Source organism: Homo sapiens, chromosome 12 (genome assembly GCF_000001405.40).
Source record: "Homo sapiens chromosome 12, GRCh38.p14 Primary Assembly".
Taxonomy (NCBI): Eukaryota; Metazoa; Chordata; class Mammalia; order Primates; family Hominidae; genus Homo; species Homo sapiens.
In genome coordinates, this window is record NC_000012.12 from 29,277,320 (window position 1) to 29,297,968 (window position 20,649).

Below are 20,649 nucleotides of genomic sequence, written 5' to 3' on the forward strand. Positions count from 1 at the left end.
AAATCCGTAAGTGTCCAGAAATAACAAGAAAGTACACACCTACACACAAAAAGAGTGAGAAAAGTTGAACAAGCACACAAATATGACAAGTATTTATTGAGAGCCAAATGTATGTCAGGCACTTATTGCTTTGTGCCTGGGGAACAGGGGCAATAAAGTAGAAAATAAAACAGGCATGGAATTGGCCTCACAGATCTTAAAGTCCAGTGAGGCAAACGAGTTTCATAAGAAACACATGTATATTTAAGTATTTTCAAAAGTACTGTGAAGACAAAGAACACGGCAATTTGAGAGAGAAAATAACAAGTGACGCCTGCTTTAAAATTATCTGCCGGAAAAGGACTCCAGAGATAGTGCCACTGGAGCTCAGGAAGAGTTAATATGTTCAAGAAAATGCAGGAGGGCATTTCTTTCAGGTAGATGCCTAGGCTCTGCCTACTTTGCATGCTTCTATCTGACTATGTAAGGCAAAAATTTATAGAAGTATAATCATGCCTTTGCTGCAAAATGAGAAATAGACATTTAAGAAGAAATTTCCATCTCATCGAATGAGCATTTTGGTGCTATAGTAATTGTTTCAATTTAAAACATTCATTTGTACATATTTTCTTTCTTTTTTTTTTTTTTTTTTTTGAGATAGGGTCTCACTCTGTTGCCCAGGTTGGAGTACAGTTCACAATCAGCTCACTGTAACCTTAAACTCCTGGGTTCAAAGGATTCTCTTGCCTCAACCTCCTGAGTTGCTGGGAATACAGGCACACACTGCCAAAGCTGGCTAATTTTCAAATTTTTGTACAGATGGGATCTCACTATGTTGCTTAGGCTGGTCTTGAACTTGTGGCCTCAAACAGTCCTCCTGCCTCAGTCTCCCAAAGTGCTAGGATTACAAGTGTGAGCCACCACACCTGGTTTATATATATTTTCAATAGTTTTAATAAAATATGTTTATATTTAATAAGATATATTTATACAAATTTTCAGTAGTTTTATAACAACAAAGTCCCTTAGAGGCAGAGGATAGACTTTTTTTAAATTTCTGAGACATGGTCTCACTCTTATCACTAAGGCTGGAGGGCACTGCATGATCATTGTTCACTGCAGCCTCAACCTCCCGGGCTCACGTGATCCACCCACCTCAGCCTCCCAAGTAGCTGGGACCACAAATATGTGACACCATGCCCAGCTATTGTTTTTAATTTTTTTTTTTTTAAGACATGGTGGTCTCACTACATTGTACAGGCTGATCTCAAACTCCTGGTTTCAAGCAATCTTCTGGTCTCAGCCTCCCAAAGTGCTGGGACTACAGGCATGAGCCACCACACCTGGCTAGAGAACAGACTTTTAACAACAAAAAAGTACTTTTTATTCTAAGGTTGAATTTAGGAGGCTGTATAAAGTAAAGGTGGGTAGATGAGACTGATTGCTTACAGAAAGCTAGCTTTGTGTGCTGGACTTGATACTATTACAGGTTTCTTGAAAGATCTGGGAAAAATGTTTAAAATTGCAACTGGAAGACATTTGCTAGACTAGAAATGGAGACTCCTAAGCACTCAGGAATTCAGCAAATGGCTGCTGGTTGGGTTTTTATTTTTATTTTTTGGATTTAAGATACTATCGAACTCTAGTTTAGTTCTTTCTGAATTGAAGACAACTAATTGATGGGTATGTTTCATATTAGTAAAAGCAAAAAGCTTATTAATTTATATTTTACATTAACAAAACCCATAGAGGGAAATTCTACTTTGCCTTTGTAACCCATATGTCAGCTTGGGCATCCCTGCCCTGTAATAAAAATGTAATTAATGACATTCTCCAAGAATCGTTGAGAATTCTCAGATGGCTCATTTTTCATGGTCATTTCTGCTGTTGCCTGGGATGAATTAGGTATGTTTATGAATCATCTTTCATTTCTCATGGGCTCCATACCAAGTTGATCCAGACCAGGCCAAGGCCCTTTCTTCAGTTGTCATAAATTTAGAATCAAACAACAAAAAGAGAGAACACTTGCCTCGGACTGCCTACCACTCACAGGACTTGCCTTTACCTCCCACACATGAATGCCCAATCTTTCAATAGGTCATCCTCTACCCTGTTAATTGAGGTTTTCTGTGTTTATTTTTCTCATCATTTTAAGTCTTCCATTTATTGTAATCTAGGAGAAAATGAGGTCACTGAGTTTGTTAATTCATTATGCTGAGTTTAGTACACAAATTCTAAGCAATATTTCACAGACATGGCTTTTTCTTGGTGCAATAAATATGGGCTTTTGTAAACTGTTTTTTGCTTTTTGGTCCCACAGCTATGTTTTGGATGGTTAAAGATGCTAAAAGTCTAAACCCTCAATTGCAGGTTACTTGTAGGTTTAGTTGTTATACCTGTACTGGGAGGTAGCATAAGGCAGTAAAAAGAACACTGATGCTCTAGATACTCTCTCCTCAATCAGAGAGATAGAGCTTGGTAGAGAGACCATGGCCTAGTTACCTAACCCATATGAGTCTTGTTTTTATTATTCATAAACTGTATCTGATAATAATAGCTATTTCATATGGATTTGCAAAGATCAAATGTGATCCTAAGTATAAAATAATGTTTTATATTGTGCAATATAATTTTTTTTTTTTTTGAGATGAAGTCTAGCTCTGTCACCCAGGCTGGAGTGGAGTGGCACAATCTCTGCTCACTGCAACCTCCACCACCCGGGTTCAAGTGATTCTCCTGCCTCAGCCTCCCAAGTAGCTGGGATTACAGGCACCCGCCACCATGCCTAGCTAATTTTTGTATTTCTGATAGAGATGGGGTTTCACCATGTTGGCCAGGCTTGTCTCAAACTCCTGACCTCAGGCGATCTGCCTGCCTCGGCCTCCCAAAGTATTGGGATTACAGGCATGAGCCACTACTCCCGGCTAAATGTTAGTTTTTTATCAGTAACCTCTCATTTCTTTTACCCAGGTATGTTATTTTGTTCGTTATCCCTAGGCAAGACCCTCTAGATTGCCTGTAACAGTTTCACACTCTTATCAAGGATGTATATATTCCTGCATTCTCTTTTCTATAGTTAGTCATCATTTCATTAGAAAGATATTTAAGAATTCACATTTATATTACAACATTTAATTTGAAAAAAACTTTTTGCGGGAAAGGAAAGTATAATCAGAAATTCATCTATCATCTTAAAGTCCTAGGTTTCACCAGTCTGTGCCATATGTGTTCACATTAACTCTCCATTCTGCATGAGTTGTACTAATGTGGGTGCTGAAGGAGATAAACCCCCCAAATCAGTAGCTTAATACAAATGAAATTTGATTCTCAAACACAGTAGGTGTAATTGGTAGAAGGCATTGCACTCCACAGTCATTCAAGGATCCATGCTAAGGGAAGGTTGCCATCTTCTACACATGGCTTCTAAACCATCCAAGGTCTCTCTGGATGACAATAAAAAACTGTCAGTGGGGTAAAAGAGGCACTGGACATCATGTGGAAGGTTTTTGTGGCCCAGGCCCAGAAGTGCCTATCACATCTGTCCATATTCCATTCTCAGAACTGTCACTGGGCATCTAACCACAAGGATGGCTGGAAAATGCATAGCTGTGTGTCCAGGAGAAAAGGAAAATAGGATTGTTGAACAACTAATGAGGTTCTGCCATGGCCTTCTTTTTAGGTCGCCAAATATCTGCTTTCCTCTCTTTCCCACACATAGAAGACACTCATTCCTACCCCAGGGTCTCATACCATTATTGCATCCAGTCCAAAGTCCAAGGGGGAATAGACTATCCTCTCTATCAGATCCAGATATTTCAGCTTCTGGTTTGGTATTCTTGGATAAAAAGGTGAATTTTCTGCCTCCCAATGTTGAGGTAGAAAATGTCTCTGTTCTATCTCTTGTCATTGTAGAACAGCGAAGTTGAAGAAAAAATAAAATCAAACAAACAAAGACACCTTCTATTCAAAAAAGAGAAGACAGGCAGGCAAGCAGCAGTCCCTAGAATATAACCATAAGGAAATCCTGATTAGCGAGTATTGAGAAGCTTCCTACACTGGGAGTGGGGAAATTCCTTAAATAGCCTCTAAATCTAATCTCTGGGAGGAACCTTCTTTTCCATTATTATTTGTGGTGGCTCCATCCTCTGGAAAGTTCTTCCTTATTTCTTATTCCCTGGCTGTCACCTCTGAAGTGGCTGTTAAGAAGTGTGCTCTTCTTGCGATCTTTGGCTTCATAACTCATTCTGCAAGAGTAAAGACGGAAACTAATGGGTGTTTTAGGTTTAAGGTCTGTCATTTGCGGACTCTGGGGCTGTGGGAGAAAAAATAAATCGTTTGGTTCATGCACACAATGTGACAGCTTGGCATAAGTAAAAGACATGAACAAAAGGATTAATGAAGAAGTGAAAGAAAGAAGGTGTATACATTAGGCACAACATCACCTAAAAAAAAAAAAAAACTGGAATGCATTAAACTTGTTCATTCAATAAGTGTTGGCTGAGTGCCTACTAAGTGTCAAGCACTGAACCAGATGTGGAGGATTCAGTGGCAACACACGGAAAAGTTAAAGGAAAAAAAAATTGGGTAATAAATTTGTTATTGGTTTTAGCAAATCCAAAAAATTCAAGAAAATAGTGCAGTGTTTGCCAAATCTAAAACTCTTTCACCCTCACTGAGTCTTAAATTAGGAATGCACAAAAGCAGAATTACTAGAAAATCAAAGTTTTATGGGTGTATTCCCTTAAGTAATAGCCCTATATTGGAAAGTTGGTGGAGGTGACTGCACATTTTAAATAACCAACCTGCACCTTTACCCCCTCCCCCATATCCTAACCAAATAAAGTATAAAATGAGGTAGAACTCACCATGTTACATCAGCTTGCCAGGAATGAAGTCAATGCTGATTGGAAAAGTGTCAAGCAATAAAGAAGAGTTTGGATTTATCTTTAACACTGTCTTCATGTCACTCGAGACTTTAATTTCAGCCAACTCTACTTCTAAAACCAACCTCTTATGCAATGATCCTGTCTGGGTCAGAGTTTCTTCTGGTAGGCATCAGATTCTGCAAATATTTATTATCTCATGTTAATCAAGTCCCCCTCTAGATTCTGCCATTTAACTTTAACGAGTTTGACACAAACAGAGTGATTTAATGCAGTTGTAACTTATTCCTAAGTAGGGCCTGGTATAGCTTTTAAGCAATACATCTCTCCAGTCACACATAATAATGAATGAATTCTAACTCACTGCAAGTACTACAGTGTTCCTGAAGGTAATAAACCATGTCAGCTATGTGAGGCTTGGAAATTTTTTTTTAAAACATAGTAACCAAAAATGTTACCAGTTGGCCTTTGATTACAACTACATCCCCCAGGAAATGTGATCAAAAGGACATCTGTTCTATGTATCAAAATTCAGACATCTGCTTCCTTCTTTTCCTTTTATGGTATGCATAGATATCACATCTGACTTCCAGTTTCCCTGCTGTCAAAGAGAAACTATTAAATGGGAGATGCTCTAGACAAAGGGATTTTAAAAAATCCATTGGCCACAGAGAACTAGAAGTGAAGAATCGAAAAAGAAGATTAATTTTCTTTCTTATTACTAAGTTTCTTAAGTATTTTCAGAGCACTTAAAGGGACATACCAGTGGGGGGAAAGTATATGAATTAATGGCAGGATTCTTGAGGACTTTCTCACAAAGATAATTAAGGTGTCACTCCAAGACAACAGCCAGAGACACCACAAATAATGTATAGATATTTTTATTGTAGTATTACTTATAGTAAACTTGGATCCAATTTAAATGTTCCACAATAGAGGAATGACTAAATAAACAATATATACAAGTGTTAGACAAGTATCCAGGCATTAAGAATCATGTTTTATAAAATAGTAAATGACACAAAAAGCCTTGTAATATATTGGTGCAAAAACAGATGCAAAACTATATTCAGTATAATCTCAACTATTAGCCCTAAATGTTGTTGTGATCTTGGATTACAATTTTTTTGCATTTTCAAATTTTCAAATTAGAATTATGATTATGCTACTTCTATGGTGAGGAAAAATTACCCTTTATAATAGTGAAAAAATAAGAACAGTAATCTTCTATCTTCCACATTTTCCAAATACGATGAACACATTACACTTTTACAGTGGAAGAAAAGAAACACCTATCTTGTAAAGTAGTAAATAAATCAGAATAAGGCAGAAATCAATCATGAATTTACAAAATTATGTCATCAAGTATAAGTTCAGTTCATTTTTAGTTTTGAAACTGTTTATCAAAATTAAATAGTTTGACTTATTTTTATTAGAAATATGATTCTAAGTATTCAACATTGCTTTTTAAAAAATTATCATCTAGTTTTTCATAAAATCTGAGGAGCTGCTAGGTAAATTTCGCACACCAAATTTCGTGTGTTGAAATGTGAACATGCTCACCACAGACCAAGGGTTTCCGAGCTGCTGTTTCATCTCTTACTTATGGAAAATATGCTCATGTAATTATGAACCAATCAGCTTTTCATTGTGTCAAAAGCAAATGTAGATAGTGCAATTGATATTTTAGCTTTATTATTGTCTTAAATATGTCTTGGCTTAAAAAGACATGGATGGCTTTTCCCCACTATACCAGATAATGAGTTGCAAATAAATCATTCAGTAGTAAAGTTCAAAGAAATGTTGAAAGCATTTCGAGTTTCCTAGTGTCTTACCGATATGTTTCTTTTTACAACAACCATGTCCCACGTCTATCTGTTTAGGATCTTAAGTTGCTAATAATCTACTCTCAATAATTCCTTAAGAAAACATTGAAAGGACAGTATCTATACCAAGGGAATAAAACCCTAAGTAGTAGAAATTATTAAAAGTGATGTAGCTACTTAGGAATGAGTGTGAGCTCAGACACTGAAAAATGTATCATTGAGATAATACCAAAAATGGTCAACCTTTTCCTGTTAAGTTATAGTAAAGTATATAGTTTGAGTACTTAGTATATAAGAGAAGAGTTAGAATGAGATTGTACCAGGTTGAGAATTCCTCATCCGAGAAGACCAGACAAAATTCAAGGTTTTTAGAGAGGGACTATCTTGAATGATATCACCAGTAAGTGGGTTTATAAACAAAGACAGAGCTAGGCAGGTTGCACTGGATCCTTCAAACCAGTTTCTCTGGAAAAATCTGAATTACTCAGTAAACCCTCAGTTGCCCCTGAGGTAAATCAACTTTGAAATACAGTAGAGAACTCTGGGTGATAAATCACGCAGGGTTACACACTGGGTCCACAGTTCACAGAACATGATTAGATTTAAGACAATAGAAGACAGGGACATTTTATGAACTAGTTTATTGAATCCTTTTGAGACTATCACTGGCAGTTCCCAGAAGGCTTAGATAAATTAATCTTTAAGAGGTAAACAAATTAACTTCGAACTAAGAAAACAAAAACAAAACAAAAAACTTTGAATTAGAAAACATCTTCAAAGAAAAGCCCACCAATGAAAGAAGCACACAGTAGAAGCATTACTGTTTTGTTTGTTTGTTTGTTTGTTTGTTTTGAGATGGAGTCTCGCTCTGTCGCCCAGGCTGGAGTGCAGTGGCGCGATCTCGGCTCACTGCAAGCTCCACCTCCCGGGTTCACGCCATTCTCCTGCCTTAGCCTCCCGAGTAGCTGGGACTACAGGCGCCCGCCACCACGCCCGGCTAATTTTTTGTATTTTTAGTAGAGGCGGGGTTTCACTGTGTTAGCCAGGATGGTCTCGATCTCCTGACCTCATGATCTGCCTGCCTCTGCCTCCCAAAGTGCTGGGATTACAGGCGTGAGCCACCGCGCCCGGCCGCATTACTGCTAAGTTTCTTGTTAATTTTCAGACTCTTTTGTAGGGAAAAAAAAGTGTGTTCATGCTTCGCTGTATAAAAGCTGCTTGTTCTCAACTTCCAAAAATGAATTTCTGATTGACATTAATGATTCTGTTAAATCTCTACATAAGGCAAAGGCAATTGGAAACATTTGCATTAAAACTTCCAAAATTGGAAATATTTGCATTTAAACTTCCAAAGCCAGTTGTGTTCCATTACTGTTTTACGCCCCGCCCCTCCAAAGGACTAAGAAACTATCCCACAAAAAGCAAGAGGCCTCTAGTGTAAGCAGTTTTCAGTTTTCCTGTTACTCAAGTCAGATCAGCTGAAGGATGTTCAACCTCTCCCCTGCAGGCCATTTACTTTAAGGAAGGAAGGAAGGGAGGAAGGGAAGAAGGAAGGGAGGGAAGGAGGGAAGGAAGGAAGGAAAAAAATCTCTTCCAATCACATTAAGTCTTTTTCTTAAAAGCTTCAAATTGGCCGGGCTTGGTGGCTCATGCCTGTAATCCCAGCACTTTGGGAGGTCGAGGCAGACAGATCACAAGGTGAGGAGATCGAGACCATTCTGGCCAACATAATGAAACCCCGTCTCTACTAAAAATACAAAAATTAGCTGGGTGTAGTGGCACGTGCCTGTAGTCCCAGCTACTTGGGAGGCTGACGCAGGAGAATCACTTGAACCTGGGAGGTGGAGGTTGGAGTGAGCCGAGATCACACCACTGCACTCCAGCCTGGTGACAGAGCTTCAGTCTTAAAAAAAGCTTCAAATTGCCCATACTAATTTCATTAAAAAAAGTTACCAAGCCATGAGGTTCAACATGATTTTGGCATACATTTTGTTCTTAGAAGTATCTGGATCACAGGATAAAATCAGAAACGTTGGCATGACCCAACACACACACAGACACACACACACACACACACACACATACACACACACACAACACAGCTTTCTGATCAGCAGTTTTTGGAAATGGAGTATTGCTGTGGAAGTAGAAAGGGAATTTTCCTATTATTAGGGAACTACAAAGCGGTGGGCACTATGACAAACATCTGACTTTCATTACACGAATCCTCAGAAATCTCTGCAGTATGCCTATTCCTACATCACAGATGAGATACAGTTGTCATCTCTCCAAGGTTATGTAATTTGTGCCAAGTGATACAGCAAAATTGGAATGCAGGTCTCTAATCTCTAAGTCCATACTTTCCCTATTGTACTGCATTGCCTCCCCTAGGAAATTTCTTCCTCGATGACAATATCATGAGGAAAGTGAAACTATTGCTTGCCATTTCTGAGTTAATATCAGTGTTTTTTCCATCCTCTAGCATGGATAATGCAGAGATGCCACCAGTTCTGTTGGAGAGTAGAAATAATCTTAAGTTTGGTCTCCATCTTCCTAGCCACCCTAGCTCTTTTCCTGCCCAGATGCAAGAAACAATTCTCAAAGGACTGTGAAATTGATCTTTGGTGTGGGGAAAAGAAAACATAACCAGATGATGAATCAAGCACTGTGTTGCCTTTAGCATTTATTGTAGAATATTATGTAAAGTGAACTAAAATTTTGTTAAATACAAAATTGTCTTTAAGAATAGCATAATATATGCTTAAATCTCTGAGGTCACAGAATACGATTTTAAGTGCAAAATTGTCTTTAAGAACAGCAAAATATATGCTTAATTCTCTGAGGTCACAGAATACGATTTTAAATGCAAAATTGTCTTTAAGAACAGCATAATATATGCTTAATTCTCTGAGGTCACAGAATACGATAGTCAGGTGGTTGGCATTTTAGATAAATATGCAAAAACACAATGACCCAGAGAGGTAAGTAACTTCCCCCAGTCACATAGCAAATCAATGGCAGAATCAGAATTCAAATATAATATTTCATGACTCCTAAGGGCCTGAGCTCTTTCCAATACACCAATGGTTCTCAACTTCAGGGTATATCAGAATTACTAGAGACCATGTTCAAAGAAAAGATAGATGCCCAAGCTTGGACTAATAACTGTTGAATGAGAATCTTCAGGGTCAGGACATAGGTTTGTTTGTTTGAGCAACTTCCTGGGCAACCCTGCTATATGCCGAAAGTTGACAGCCATACTACTACACCATGCTGCCTTATGGAGTTATAGAAACGGTCTTCGCTAAAGCACTAAAAACGTCTAGATTAATCCTTTACATCTTATGAGAGTTACTAGTGAACTAGCAACAATTTTAACATTTTGTGAATTTTTGTTAATCTGTACATTGGGTATAATGGTTTTTGCTTAAATTAACGAACTTATTTGTGTTTGTTTTCAACTTAAAGCTAATTTGCAGAATTCATTGATTTGTTTTTACTCAGCACTCTAAAAATTCTCTAAAAAAAATTACAGTGTCTCTTTCACCTTGGGACACCAAATATTCCACAGAGATTGCCCCTTAGTTTAAGCAACCTTACTCATTTATTTTCCAAAAAAAATTAAGCAAATTTTGGTGGGTTATTGGGACTACATAATGTAGTTATTTTTGAAGAGAAAGACTTTTTGAAGAGAAAGACGTAGTAAAATGATTAAAGATCAAAGATTCTCATGATTAGAAAAGATTAGATTACCTTCAATGAGCCCCAGGAAGTAGAGGGCAAATCTCCTGTGGATACTTACAAAATGAGGTCATGTGGCTAACTAGTTCATTGTAAGAGACCATGTTAAAGGCCTCTGGATTGTTTCAAAAGCATTATATAAATGTAATGCCCCCACCCCAATTCCTACTTCTAATAAAAATGCAGTCTTGATGTCTGACTACAGAAGTCATACCCAAGGAGTTTATTTAAACCAGACAAATTTTTTTTTCTGGTTTTCTCTTTCTGCTGAATTTTCTTACTTAAGAGTTTGCAGTTTCTCTGTTGCCTCTGGGCTACAAGTAACTATTCATATAATTAGAAGAGTATCTTATGTTTAAAAACAAATTAAGGAGAGAAATACTTGCCTGTGTAATGGCAAGTCAATGGAACACTCCCAAAGTTTCCAATCTGAAATGCTTAGATCACCTTTCAGCTGTATCTTTCAGTGACCACAGAAATGTGTCCTACTCTTGTAAAGAACAAGGTTTCCTAAAATGGATCAACAGCAATCCCTCTGCTTGAGTTTTGATGATGGTGAGCAGCTTTCCAACTATTTACCTCTCAGTCTTGTGCCATCAAGTAGAGAATATGAGTTTATGCAATGAGAAGAAACAGGATAAGCTCTTAGAATTTAAAATAATTATATTGTTCTTTATTGGTGGGCTTTCAATGAAATTTCTGAAATTCTGTTTTTTCTTTACTCATTTTGATTTCATCTATTTTTCTTACTTTAATCTCTCACATTAGCAACAAACACACCAAAAAGAAAATTTTTTTTAGAAGAGCTGGTGCTTATCCAGGTTCCATTTGCACCATTTCATCTTGTCCCTTCAGTCTTGTCATTATTATAAAAATAGAAGGTCTGCTATAAAGACTGGAGAAATTACATTACTTCAAGCTCCCACTGGCAGTTAATATAGAGGACTCAGGAAACACTTGTGTCCTCGTTTAGCAGTCGCTATCTGCTATCTCTCATCACAGTCATACAAACTTCAGGAATCAGGCTTCCATTCTATTGTAGTAATAGTTCTATTACTGATCTTACAGGAATTAATTTTAATTCAATAAGCAAAATTTGAGTCTTTTCAATGAATGGCATACTGTCAGGCATAAAGAGATGAATAAGAATCAAGGAGTTTACAAAGAAATTTTTTAAAAAGCCTTTAAAATAGCCACACATAAAATTAAATACCTAGGAATTAACTTGACCAGAGAAGTGAAAGATCTCTATAATGAAAACTATAAAACACTGATGAATGAAATTGAAGAGGACACCAAAAACTAGAAAAGTATTCCATGTTCATGGATTAGAAGAATCAATATTGTTAAAATGTCCATACTACCATCCAAAGCAGTGTACAGATTCAGTGCAATCCTTATCAAAATATCAGTAACATTATTCATAGAAATAGAAAAAAACAATCCTAAAATTTATTTGGAACCGCAAAAGACTGAGAATAGCCAAAGCTAACCTGAGCAAAAAAGAATAAAACTGGAGGAATCACATTACTTGACTTCAAATTATACTACAAAGCTATGGTAACCAAAATAGCATGGTACCAGCATAAAAACAGACACACAGACCAATAGAACAGAATAGAGAACTCAGAAAAAAATCCACACACCTACAGTGAACTCTTTTGACAAAGGTGCCAAGAATATACACTGCAGAAAAGACAGCCTCTTCAATAAATGGTGTTGGGAAAACGATATCCAGATACAGCAGAATGAAACTAGACCTCTATCTCTCTCCATATACAAAAATCAAATCAAAATGGATTAAAGACTTAGATCTAAGACTTCAAACTATGAAACTACTACAAGAAAACATTTGGGAAAATCTCCAGGACGTTGGTCTGGGCAAAAATTTATTGAGCAATACCCCACAAGCACAGGCAACCAAAGCAAGAATGGACAAATGGGATCACATCAAGTTAAAAAGCTTCTACACAGCAAAGGATACAATCAACAAAGTGAAGAGACAAGCCACAGAATGGGGGAAAATATTTGCAAACAACCTATCTGATAAAGGATTAATAACCAGAATACATAAGGAGCTCAAACAACTATACAGTAAAAAGTATAATAATCCGATCAAAAAATGAGCAAAATATTTGAATAACCATTTCTCAAAAGAAGACATACAAAAGACAAACAGGCATATAAAAAGGTGCTCAACATCACTGATCATTAGACATGCAAATCAAAACTACAATGAGATATTATTTCACCCCAGTTAAAATGGCTTATATCCAAAAGATAGGCAATAAAAAATGTTGTCAATGATGTGGAGCAAAAGGAACCCTCATATGCTGTTGGTAGGAATGTAAATTAGTACAACCACTACGGAGAACAGTTTGCATGTTCCTCAAAAAACAATAGAAATACCATATGGGCCAGGTGTGGTGGCTCATGCCTGTAATCCCAGCACTTTGGGAGGCTGAGACGGGTGGATCACTGGAGGTCGGGAGTTCAAGATCAGCCTGGCCAACGTAGCGAAACCCCATCTCTACTAAAAATACAAAAATTGGCCAGACATGGTGGTGCATACTTGTAATCCCAGCTACTCAGGAGGCTGAGGCAAGAGAATCACTTGAACTCAGAAGGTGAAGGTTGTAGTGAGCCAAGATTGTGCCACTGCACTCCAGCCTGGGTGACAGAGTGAGACTCTGTCTGAGAAAAAAAAAAAAAGAAAGAAATACCATATGATCCAGCAGTCCCACTGCAAGGTATATACCCAACAAAAAGGAAATCAGTATCTCAAAGAGGTATCTGCACTCCCATATTTGTTGCAGTACTGCTCACACTAGCTAAGATTTGGAAGCCACCTAAGTGTCCATCAATAGATGAATGGATAAAGAAAATGTGGTACATATACACAATGGAGTACTACTCAGCCATCAAAAAGAATGGGATTCAGTCATTTGCAACAACATGGATGGAAATGGAGGTCATTATGCTAAGTGAAATGAACCAGGCACAGAAAGACAAACATTGCATGTTTTCACTTATTTGTCAGGTACAAAAATCAAAACAATTGAACTCATGGACATAAAGAGTAGAAGGATGGTTACCAGAGGCTGGGAAGGCAAGTGGGAGGGGGTGGATGGGAATGGTAAAGGGTGGCAAACAATAGAAGAATTAATAAGACCTACTATTTGATAGCACAATAGGGTGACTATAGTCAATAATAATGGTACATTTTAAAATAATTTAAAGAGTATAATTGGATTGCTTGTAACTCAAAGGATAAATGCTTGAAGGGATAGATACCCCTTCTCCATGATGTGCTTATTTCATATAGCATACCTGTATAAAAACATCTCATGTACCCCATAAATATATATACCTACTATGTACCCACAGAAATTAAAGAAAAATAGAAAGAGTTTCCCTACAAAAGAAAAAAAGAATCAAGGAGTTTACAAACTAGAGGGGGAAATATAAGCCCTGAATTTAAGAACAGACATGAATTTTTCAGAGTCAGTGTTTCCCAATTATGGTACCTGGACCATCAGATCCACCTGCAGAGGCGGTTAAGAAATACAATTTCCTAGGTTACACACAAAACTACTGAGCCAGGGTCTCTGAGGGTGGAATAAAGAAATAATTTTTAACCAGGTTCTTTGATTTTTCATGCCTACAGTTTGAAAGCTACTGATGCGAAGATTGCTCTGGGCAGTTATAAAGGGAAATGAGTTGTATGCAGTTATTCATCTGCAATGGTCCGTGTTTGCACTCTAAATGGAGAAATTCTCATCATTTGCATGCCTTAAAATCAATTGGGGGACTTGGTGTGAAATACAGATTCCTGGGTGTGCCCTAGTAATTTCTTATTTAGTGGGTATGGGATAGGACCCAGGAATATACATTTTAATTATGCTACTAGTGATTCCAATGCAGTTCACTTTGTGGACAGCGTTATGAAAAGACCAAAACCACTGACCTGTTGGATTCCAGTTGGCTGCCATCTCTGTCACTCTATTCAGGACATGGCACTATTAAAGAGTATTATTTTAGAAGCTATAGGGGTATGGTGAGATTCCTGACAGGGCAAGTCCTATTATTAAGCAAGGCTAATGTAGTAAAATGGAATCCTCATTTAGTACTGTGGTTTGAATTGATGCAGCCAATTCATTGATTTATTTCAGTGGAACATTATCAACTACTATCTAAATCAGAAAACTCAGACTTTTAAAAAATTGTACTATGTTCATTCAGATATGCATTCTTGATTGAAAATACAATGCAACAGATACAACACAGATTGGAACATTATTTCCTAAAATTGTAATGATCTCCTGAAAAGTAATGCAAATATGGGATCTTGGTGCTGTTCAACGTTGCACAGGTTGTCTGAAAGTATAATATGGAATAGCAGTAACTTCTGTCTTTTAAAGTCATAAAAACCAAAGGCAAAAGAAAATCTAAATATGACTACTTACATCATATGTAAGGAACCCCATCGTGAGAAGGGTGGATGCTGAAACCATCTCCTACTTCTTGCTTTCCAGTAGTCAGAAGTCTTCACAGGCCAAAGTGAAAGAGTCCACAGAACCCTAAGTAAATTTCTAGTGAATAAAATATATCATGTAGACTCAAAAAGAGTCTTCTCCAAATTCAGTTACCAAAAAAGAGAAAATTATACAAATTTTAGATAAGCTTACCCAAAAATATTCAACATATGTTTGTTGTACAATTAACATTAACTATCAAGAGGGAAAACATCTGACTCTAGAAGAAAACATTTAGCATGCTTATGATTGATTAATATTAGAAAAACTGTTAAAGATCTTTCTGGAAGAGATGTACCCCAGGGTGTTTTTATTGGGTAATAAAAAGTTGATCTCAAGTAGTCAGAGAAATCATGTCTCATTTGTATCAGGCAAGAGCATGTTCAGAAGCCATTCTGAGGATTTAATGAAGATGACTAGGAAAGGGAAGAAATCCACATATTGATCTGGCAAGTTAACATATTTCAATTCTGTCTACCATTTTTCTGCACTGTAGGGCCAGCCTTTTCAGTGGTGTGTTACTGCAATTCTGAAGATCATTTGGAAGTTAGGTCAGTCCTCAATGCTTTTGACATCTGGGATTGATAAGGTTGATAAAGTGTCCTGGGCACATTCTCAACAAAGAGGTCATTCTGACTCTTCCAGAAAGATCTTTAACAGTTTTTCTAATATTAATCAATCAAGGGATCCTCCCATCTCAGCCTCCCAAGCAGTTGGGACTACAGGCACACACCACCATGCCTGGCTAATTTTTTGTATTTTTAGTAGAGACAGGTTTTTACCATGTTGCGCAGGCTGGTGTCGAACTCCTGGGCTCAAGTGATCTCCCTGCTTTGGCTTCCCAAAGTGCTGAGATTACAGGCATATGCCACCATGCCCAGCCAGATGTCTTCTTTAAGTAATGTTATTACAACTAAAACCAGTTTTTGAGTATAATTAAGCAGGTTGTTATAAACAAGAACAATGTGATAATGATGGTGCTATTTTTTGTATATTGATCTATATTTATGTTTCAGCTATTTGAGAAAGTCAAAGAAGTTTGTCCAAATGTGCATGAGAAGATCAGAGCTATTTATGCAGATCTCAATCAGAATGACTTTGCCATCAGCAAAGAGGACATGCAGGAGCTTCTCTCCTGTACAAACATAATATTTCACTGTGCAGCCACTGTACGCTTTGACGACACTCTCAGGTACATTCCCATTTCCCTCTCATGGCTTGTATACATATGTGTGCATGTAAATTTCTTCATAGTTTCTGTAAAAAAAAAGAAATACACTCTAAACAAAAAAGACATACAAAGAAGCAAAACTCCTCCAAAATCCCACCATCTAGAAACAACCATTTACTATTGTGGAGAATATTCACTCCAATTTTTCTTTATGTATCTATGATTACATAGGTGTATGTTCAATTTTACTGGAAGAAAATGGCATCCTAGCGAGAATGATGTTTTGCAACCTGCTCAATTATATTTTTTGATATCTATCATTGTCAATAAATATTCTATTATAATTTGTAATGATTACATGACATTCCATTGTACATATATATATAATATATTAAACCAGTTCTATGTCGGTGGACATTTGGATTGTTTTAATTTTTCACTATTAACAACACTGCAATGAACATCTGTGTGCATGTGTATTTTTCACCCCTTTGTGTGCTCTTCTTGAGATAAATTCCTAGAAGTACAATTATCAGATACATATCAGATGTTACCCAGGTTATGAACAGTTTGCATTTTCACACATAATGCTAAATTGCTCTCCAAAAATGTGGTGTCCACTTACACTGTCTCTGTGCACATGAATGCTCATTTTTACAGTCACAAAATAATACTATAATTTTTAAATTATTTTAATGTTGCTAATAGGATAATGGAAATGGTAGCACATGTTCTGATTTGTATTTCTTTGATGATTACAAAGGCTAATGATATTTAAATGCTTATTGGCATTTTGTTCTTTGTGAAATGCCTATTGATGTTCTTTGCCTATTTTTCTATTGAAACATTTTTTTCTTATTAAGACTTCTTGAAAGTTTCAGCACAGTAATTCTTAATTTTTTTTTTGTTGTTGAGACAGTTTCGTTCTTGTTGCCCAAGTTGGAGTGCAATGGCAGGATCTTGGCTCACTGCAACCTCCGCCTCCTGGGTTCAAGCGATTCTCCTGCCTCAGCCTCCCAAGTAGTTGGGATTACGGGTGCCTGCCACCACGCTCGGCTAATATTTTTGTATTTTTAGTAGAGACGGAGTTTCATCATGTTGGCCAGGCTGGTCTCAAACTCCTGACCTCAGGTGATCCACCCGCCTTGGCCTCCCAAAGTGCTGGGATTACAGGCGTGAGCCACTGTGCCTGGCCATTAAATTCTTCATCTTTTATAAGGCTGAAACTATTTTAACAATTTATCAAATGTCTTTCAAGTCAATTATTTATGCAGTTATTTATAATTTCTCCTAGTATTTTTATGGTTTCATTTTTACATTTAGATTTTTGATCCATTTATAAAGTATTTACCTAGAAAGAGGAGTACGGGCCAATTCTGTAAGAAGAGTGATGCAGATGTGAAAGTAAAGCAGCTTTATTTTTTTTTTCTGCCACATGGTTAGTTTTTGAACAATATTTGTTAAATATTTTATTTTTACTCTTTATCTGATATAAAGCTCTTAAACTAAATTTCAGTTTTTAAACTATTTTGTTACATTAAATCAGGCTTTCACTTCCAGTACTGTATCATTTTAATTACTGTAATTTCTATTATATTAGAGCAAGCATACTCACAGCACTGTATTTTTTTCTTTTGAGATGGAGTTTCGCTCTGTTGCCCAGGCTGGAGTGCATTGGCGTGATCTTGGCTCACTGCAACCTCCACCTCCTGGGTTCAAGTGATTCTTTTGCCTCAGCCTCCCCATGTAGCTGGGACTACAGGCACCCACCACCATGCCTAGCTAATTTTTGTATTTTTGGTAGAGACGGGGTTTCACAATCATGGCCAGGCTGGTCTTGAACTCCTGACCTCAGGTGATCCGCCCGCCTCGGCCTCCTAAAGTGCTGGGATTACAGGCGTGAGCCACCGTGCCCAGCCACACTTCCATTTTTATAGAATTTTCCTTACTGTTCTCTTTGCATATACTTCCTGATTAAATTTAAGATAATTTTGCCAGGTTTTTAAAAATCTTGGGAGTTTGATTAGAATTACCTTGCATATGTAGAATACTTGGGAGTTTGATTAGAATTACCTTGTATATGTAGAATACTTTAAAAACATTTAGTATATTTAAAATATTCATTCTTCCCATCCAAGAACAATATGTTTTCCCATTTTATTCAATTTTTTATTTGTTTTTTGTTATTATATATTCATTTATGATGAATTTGATATATTTTAAACGTTCAACTTTGGACATTTCTTCCCTTTTCTTCTCTAATTTTTGTTTATATACAAGCAGCTAGTGATTTTTTACGTAATTTTTTTTTTTTTTTTTTTTTTTGAGACGGAGTCTCGCTCTGTCGCCCAGGCCGGACTGCGGACTGCAGTGGCGCAATCTCGGCTCACTGCAAGCTCCGCTTCCCGGGTTCACGCCATTCTCCTGCCTCAGCCTCCCGAGTAGCTGGGACTACAGGCGCCCGCCACCGCGCCCGGCTAATTTTTTGTATTTTTAGTAGAGACGGGGTTTCACCTTGTTAGCCAGGATGGTCTCGATCTCCTGACCTCATGATCCACCCGCCTCGGCCTCCCAAAGTGCTGGGATTACAGGCGTGAGCCACCGCGCCCGGCCTTTTAACGTAATTTTTATCAGTGGACACCTTACTGAATTATAGTACATTTCAGTTTTTTTAAAAAGCTGCTTCTGTTTTCCATGTATGCAATTATATAATCCGACAGTAATTTTTGTGGCTGTCTTTTTAGTATCTATATCTGTTCTTTAATTTTATTTTTCTAATTAATTCCAAGGCTAGGACTTCAGAACAATGTTAAGTAGTAGTGTGATTGTAGGCATTATTCCTACCACTGACGTTACAAGCAGTGCTCCTAGCTTTTCACCAGTTCTAGTGAATTTGTTTAACTAAATTGGAAATGGAAATTAAATGTCATTTTAAACTTTTCAAAATACATATAGATTCTTATATAGTTTTTCTCATTTGAGTTAAATTAAATTAGTAAGTTTCCTGGTATTTGATAAACCATGTATTCCTGGAATGAACTATTTCATTGTTATCACATACTGTTTATATAGCTTTGCATTCTACTAGCTGCAATTTTAGATTTTGACATCAATTTTCATGTCTTGCCTGGATCTTTACAAGAGCAACTTACATTGCTCCTTTAAAAAATGTACTGTTGCTCCCCTCCAGTTTATTTACATTTTCCAACTTCTTCAGTTAGATGCTTAATTTACATGTTTGTGTTCTTTTAATGGCTGCCTATAGAAGCACCTTTATAAATTCAGAGTATTGTAATTCTTTTTCCGGTTGATTAGAACCAATTGTCCTCTAGATATATGTACAGTGTGTCAGTGAATAGGATTTATGTGCACAAAACACATCATCACTACATAAAACATTCCGAGTATCACATAACTGTGTAGCCATGACCCATCCTTCTCTTCCTGGTGTTTTGGTGCGGCCACCAAAATCTGATAGGTATGCCAGTTATTGGAGTAGGTGCAGTTATAGCAAGGCATGATACTGACTTACTTCATTGTATTTCCTTCTGCTTAATCTTCTCTAGACATGCTGTGCAACTTAACGTCACTGCCACCCGGCAGCTCTTGCTTATGGCTAGTCAGATGCCAAAGCTGGAAGCCTTTATACATATCTCTACTGCCTATTCAAATTGTAACCTGAAGCACATCGATGAAGTTATCTATCCGTGCCCTGTGGAGCCAAAAAAAATCATTGATTCCCTTGAGTAAGTTGGTCTAATAAAAGGATCAAGGGGCGGGTAGAATAAGTTCCTTTGTTCTCTTTGATTCTTTGTAGCTATTAATGAGATGATGAAGTCAAACACTTTTGAAGCAAAATGTTTTGAAACGGTGCTAGCCTTAGCTACCTTGTCCCTGCTAGTTCTGGTGGGGAATATACTGCTAAAAGAGAAGGGGGATAGAAAATTCTTAAACATTTTGTGGAATTGCGTAGGATTGCATGAGGTACTTGGGAATACTATACATAGAAGTTGTTTCTCACTTCTTAATGAACTTAGCATTGTCACTGGATAAAGCAAGTATAATGTATAGTATAAAAGTTCAGAAGAAAAATGTCTGATTCAGACTGACGTGAGTTTGGCATAGCTCCACCAGTAACTACCTGTGTGACTGAGCAAATTCCTTGCCCTCTCTGAGCCCCAAGTCCTTCATTTGTAAAATGGGCCCATTTTATAGTTGTGAGGTTGAAAAAAGTTATATAAAACACTTATTGCAGTGCTAGGGAGTGTTTAACAGCACTTAATCAAATAATTCATAAAAAAGAACTAGAGGCTGGGGGTGGTGGCTCACGCCTGTAATCCCAGCACTTTGGGAGGCTGAGGCGGGTGGATCACCTGAGTCCAAGAGTTCAAGACCAGCCTAAAATACAAAAATTAGCTGGATGTGGTGGCAGGCGCCTGTAATCCCAGGTACTTGGGAGGCTGAGGCAGGAGAATCACTTGAACCTGGGGAGAATCGCTTGAACCTGGGAGGCA

At 37.3% G+C, this 20,649-nt stretch overlaps 1 protein-coding gene and 1 long non-coding RNA gene across 6 annotated transcripts in view; one reads left to right on the forward strand and one right to left on the reverse strand.

The window, feature by feature from the left end:
* FAR2 (fatty acyl-CoA reductase 2) overlaps nucleotides 1–20,649 on the forward strand; it is a 186,339-nt gene that overhangs the window by 128,042 nt on the left and 37,648 nt on the right. For all 5 annotated transcript variants that reach the window (NM_001271783.2, XM_011520748.4, XM_011520747.3 and 2 more), the window contains 2 exons: nucleotides 15,981–16,156; nucleotides 19,702–19,881. In NM_001271783.2, coding sequence (NP_001258712.1) covers nucleotides 15,981–16,156; nucleotides 19,702–19,881 — 356 coding nt within the window. The remainder of the gene's footprint in view (nucleotides 1–15,980; nucleotides 16,157–19,701; nucleotides 19,882–20,649) is intronic.
* The window catches only part of FAR2-AS1 (FAR2 antisense RNA 1), a 37,434-nt gene continuing 19,880 nt past the window's right edge, over nucleotides 3,096–20,649 (reverse strand). Inside the window, exons 4-7 of the long non-coding RNA NR_103860.1 lie at nucleotides 15,747–16,221; nucleotides 14,896–15,009; nucleotides 4,845–5,041; nucleotides 3,096–4,223 (exon numbers count right to left, since the gene is read on the reverse strand). This is a non-coding gene — a long non-coding RNA (FAR2 antisense RNA 1). The remainder of the gene's footprint in view (nucleotides 4,224–4,844; nucleotides 5,042–14,895; nucleotides 15,010–15,746; nucleotides 16,222–20,649) is intronic.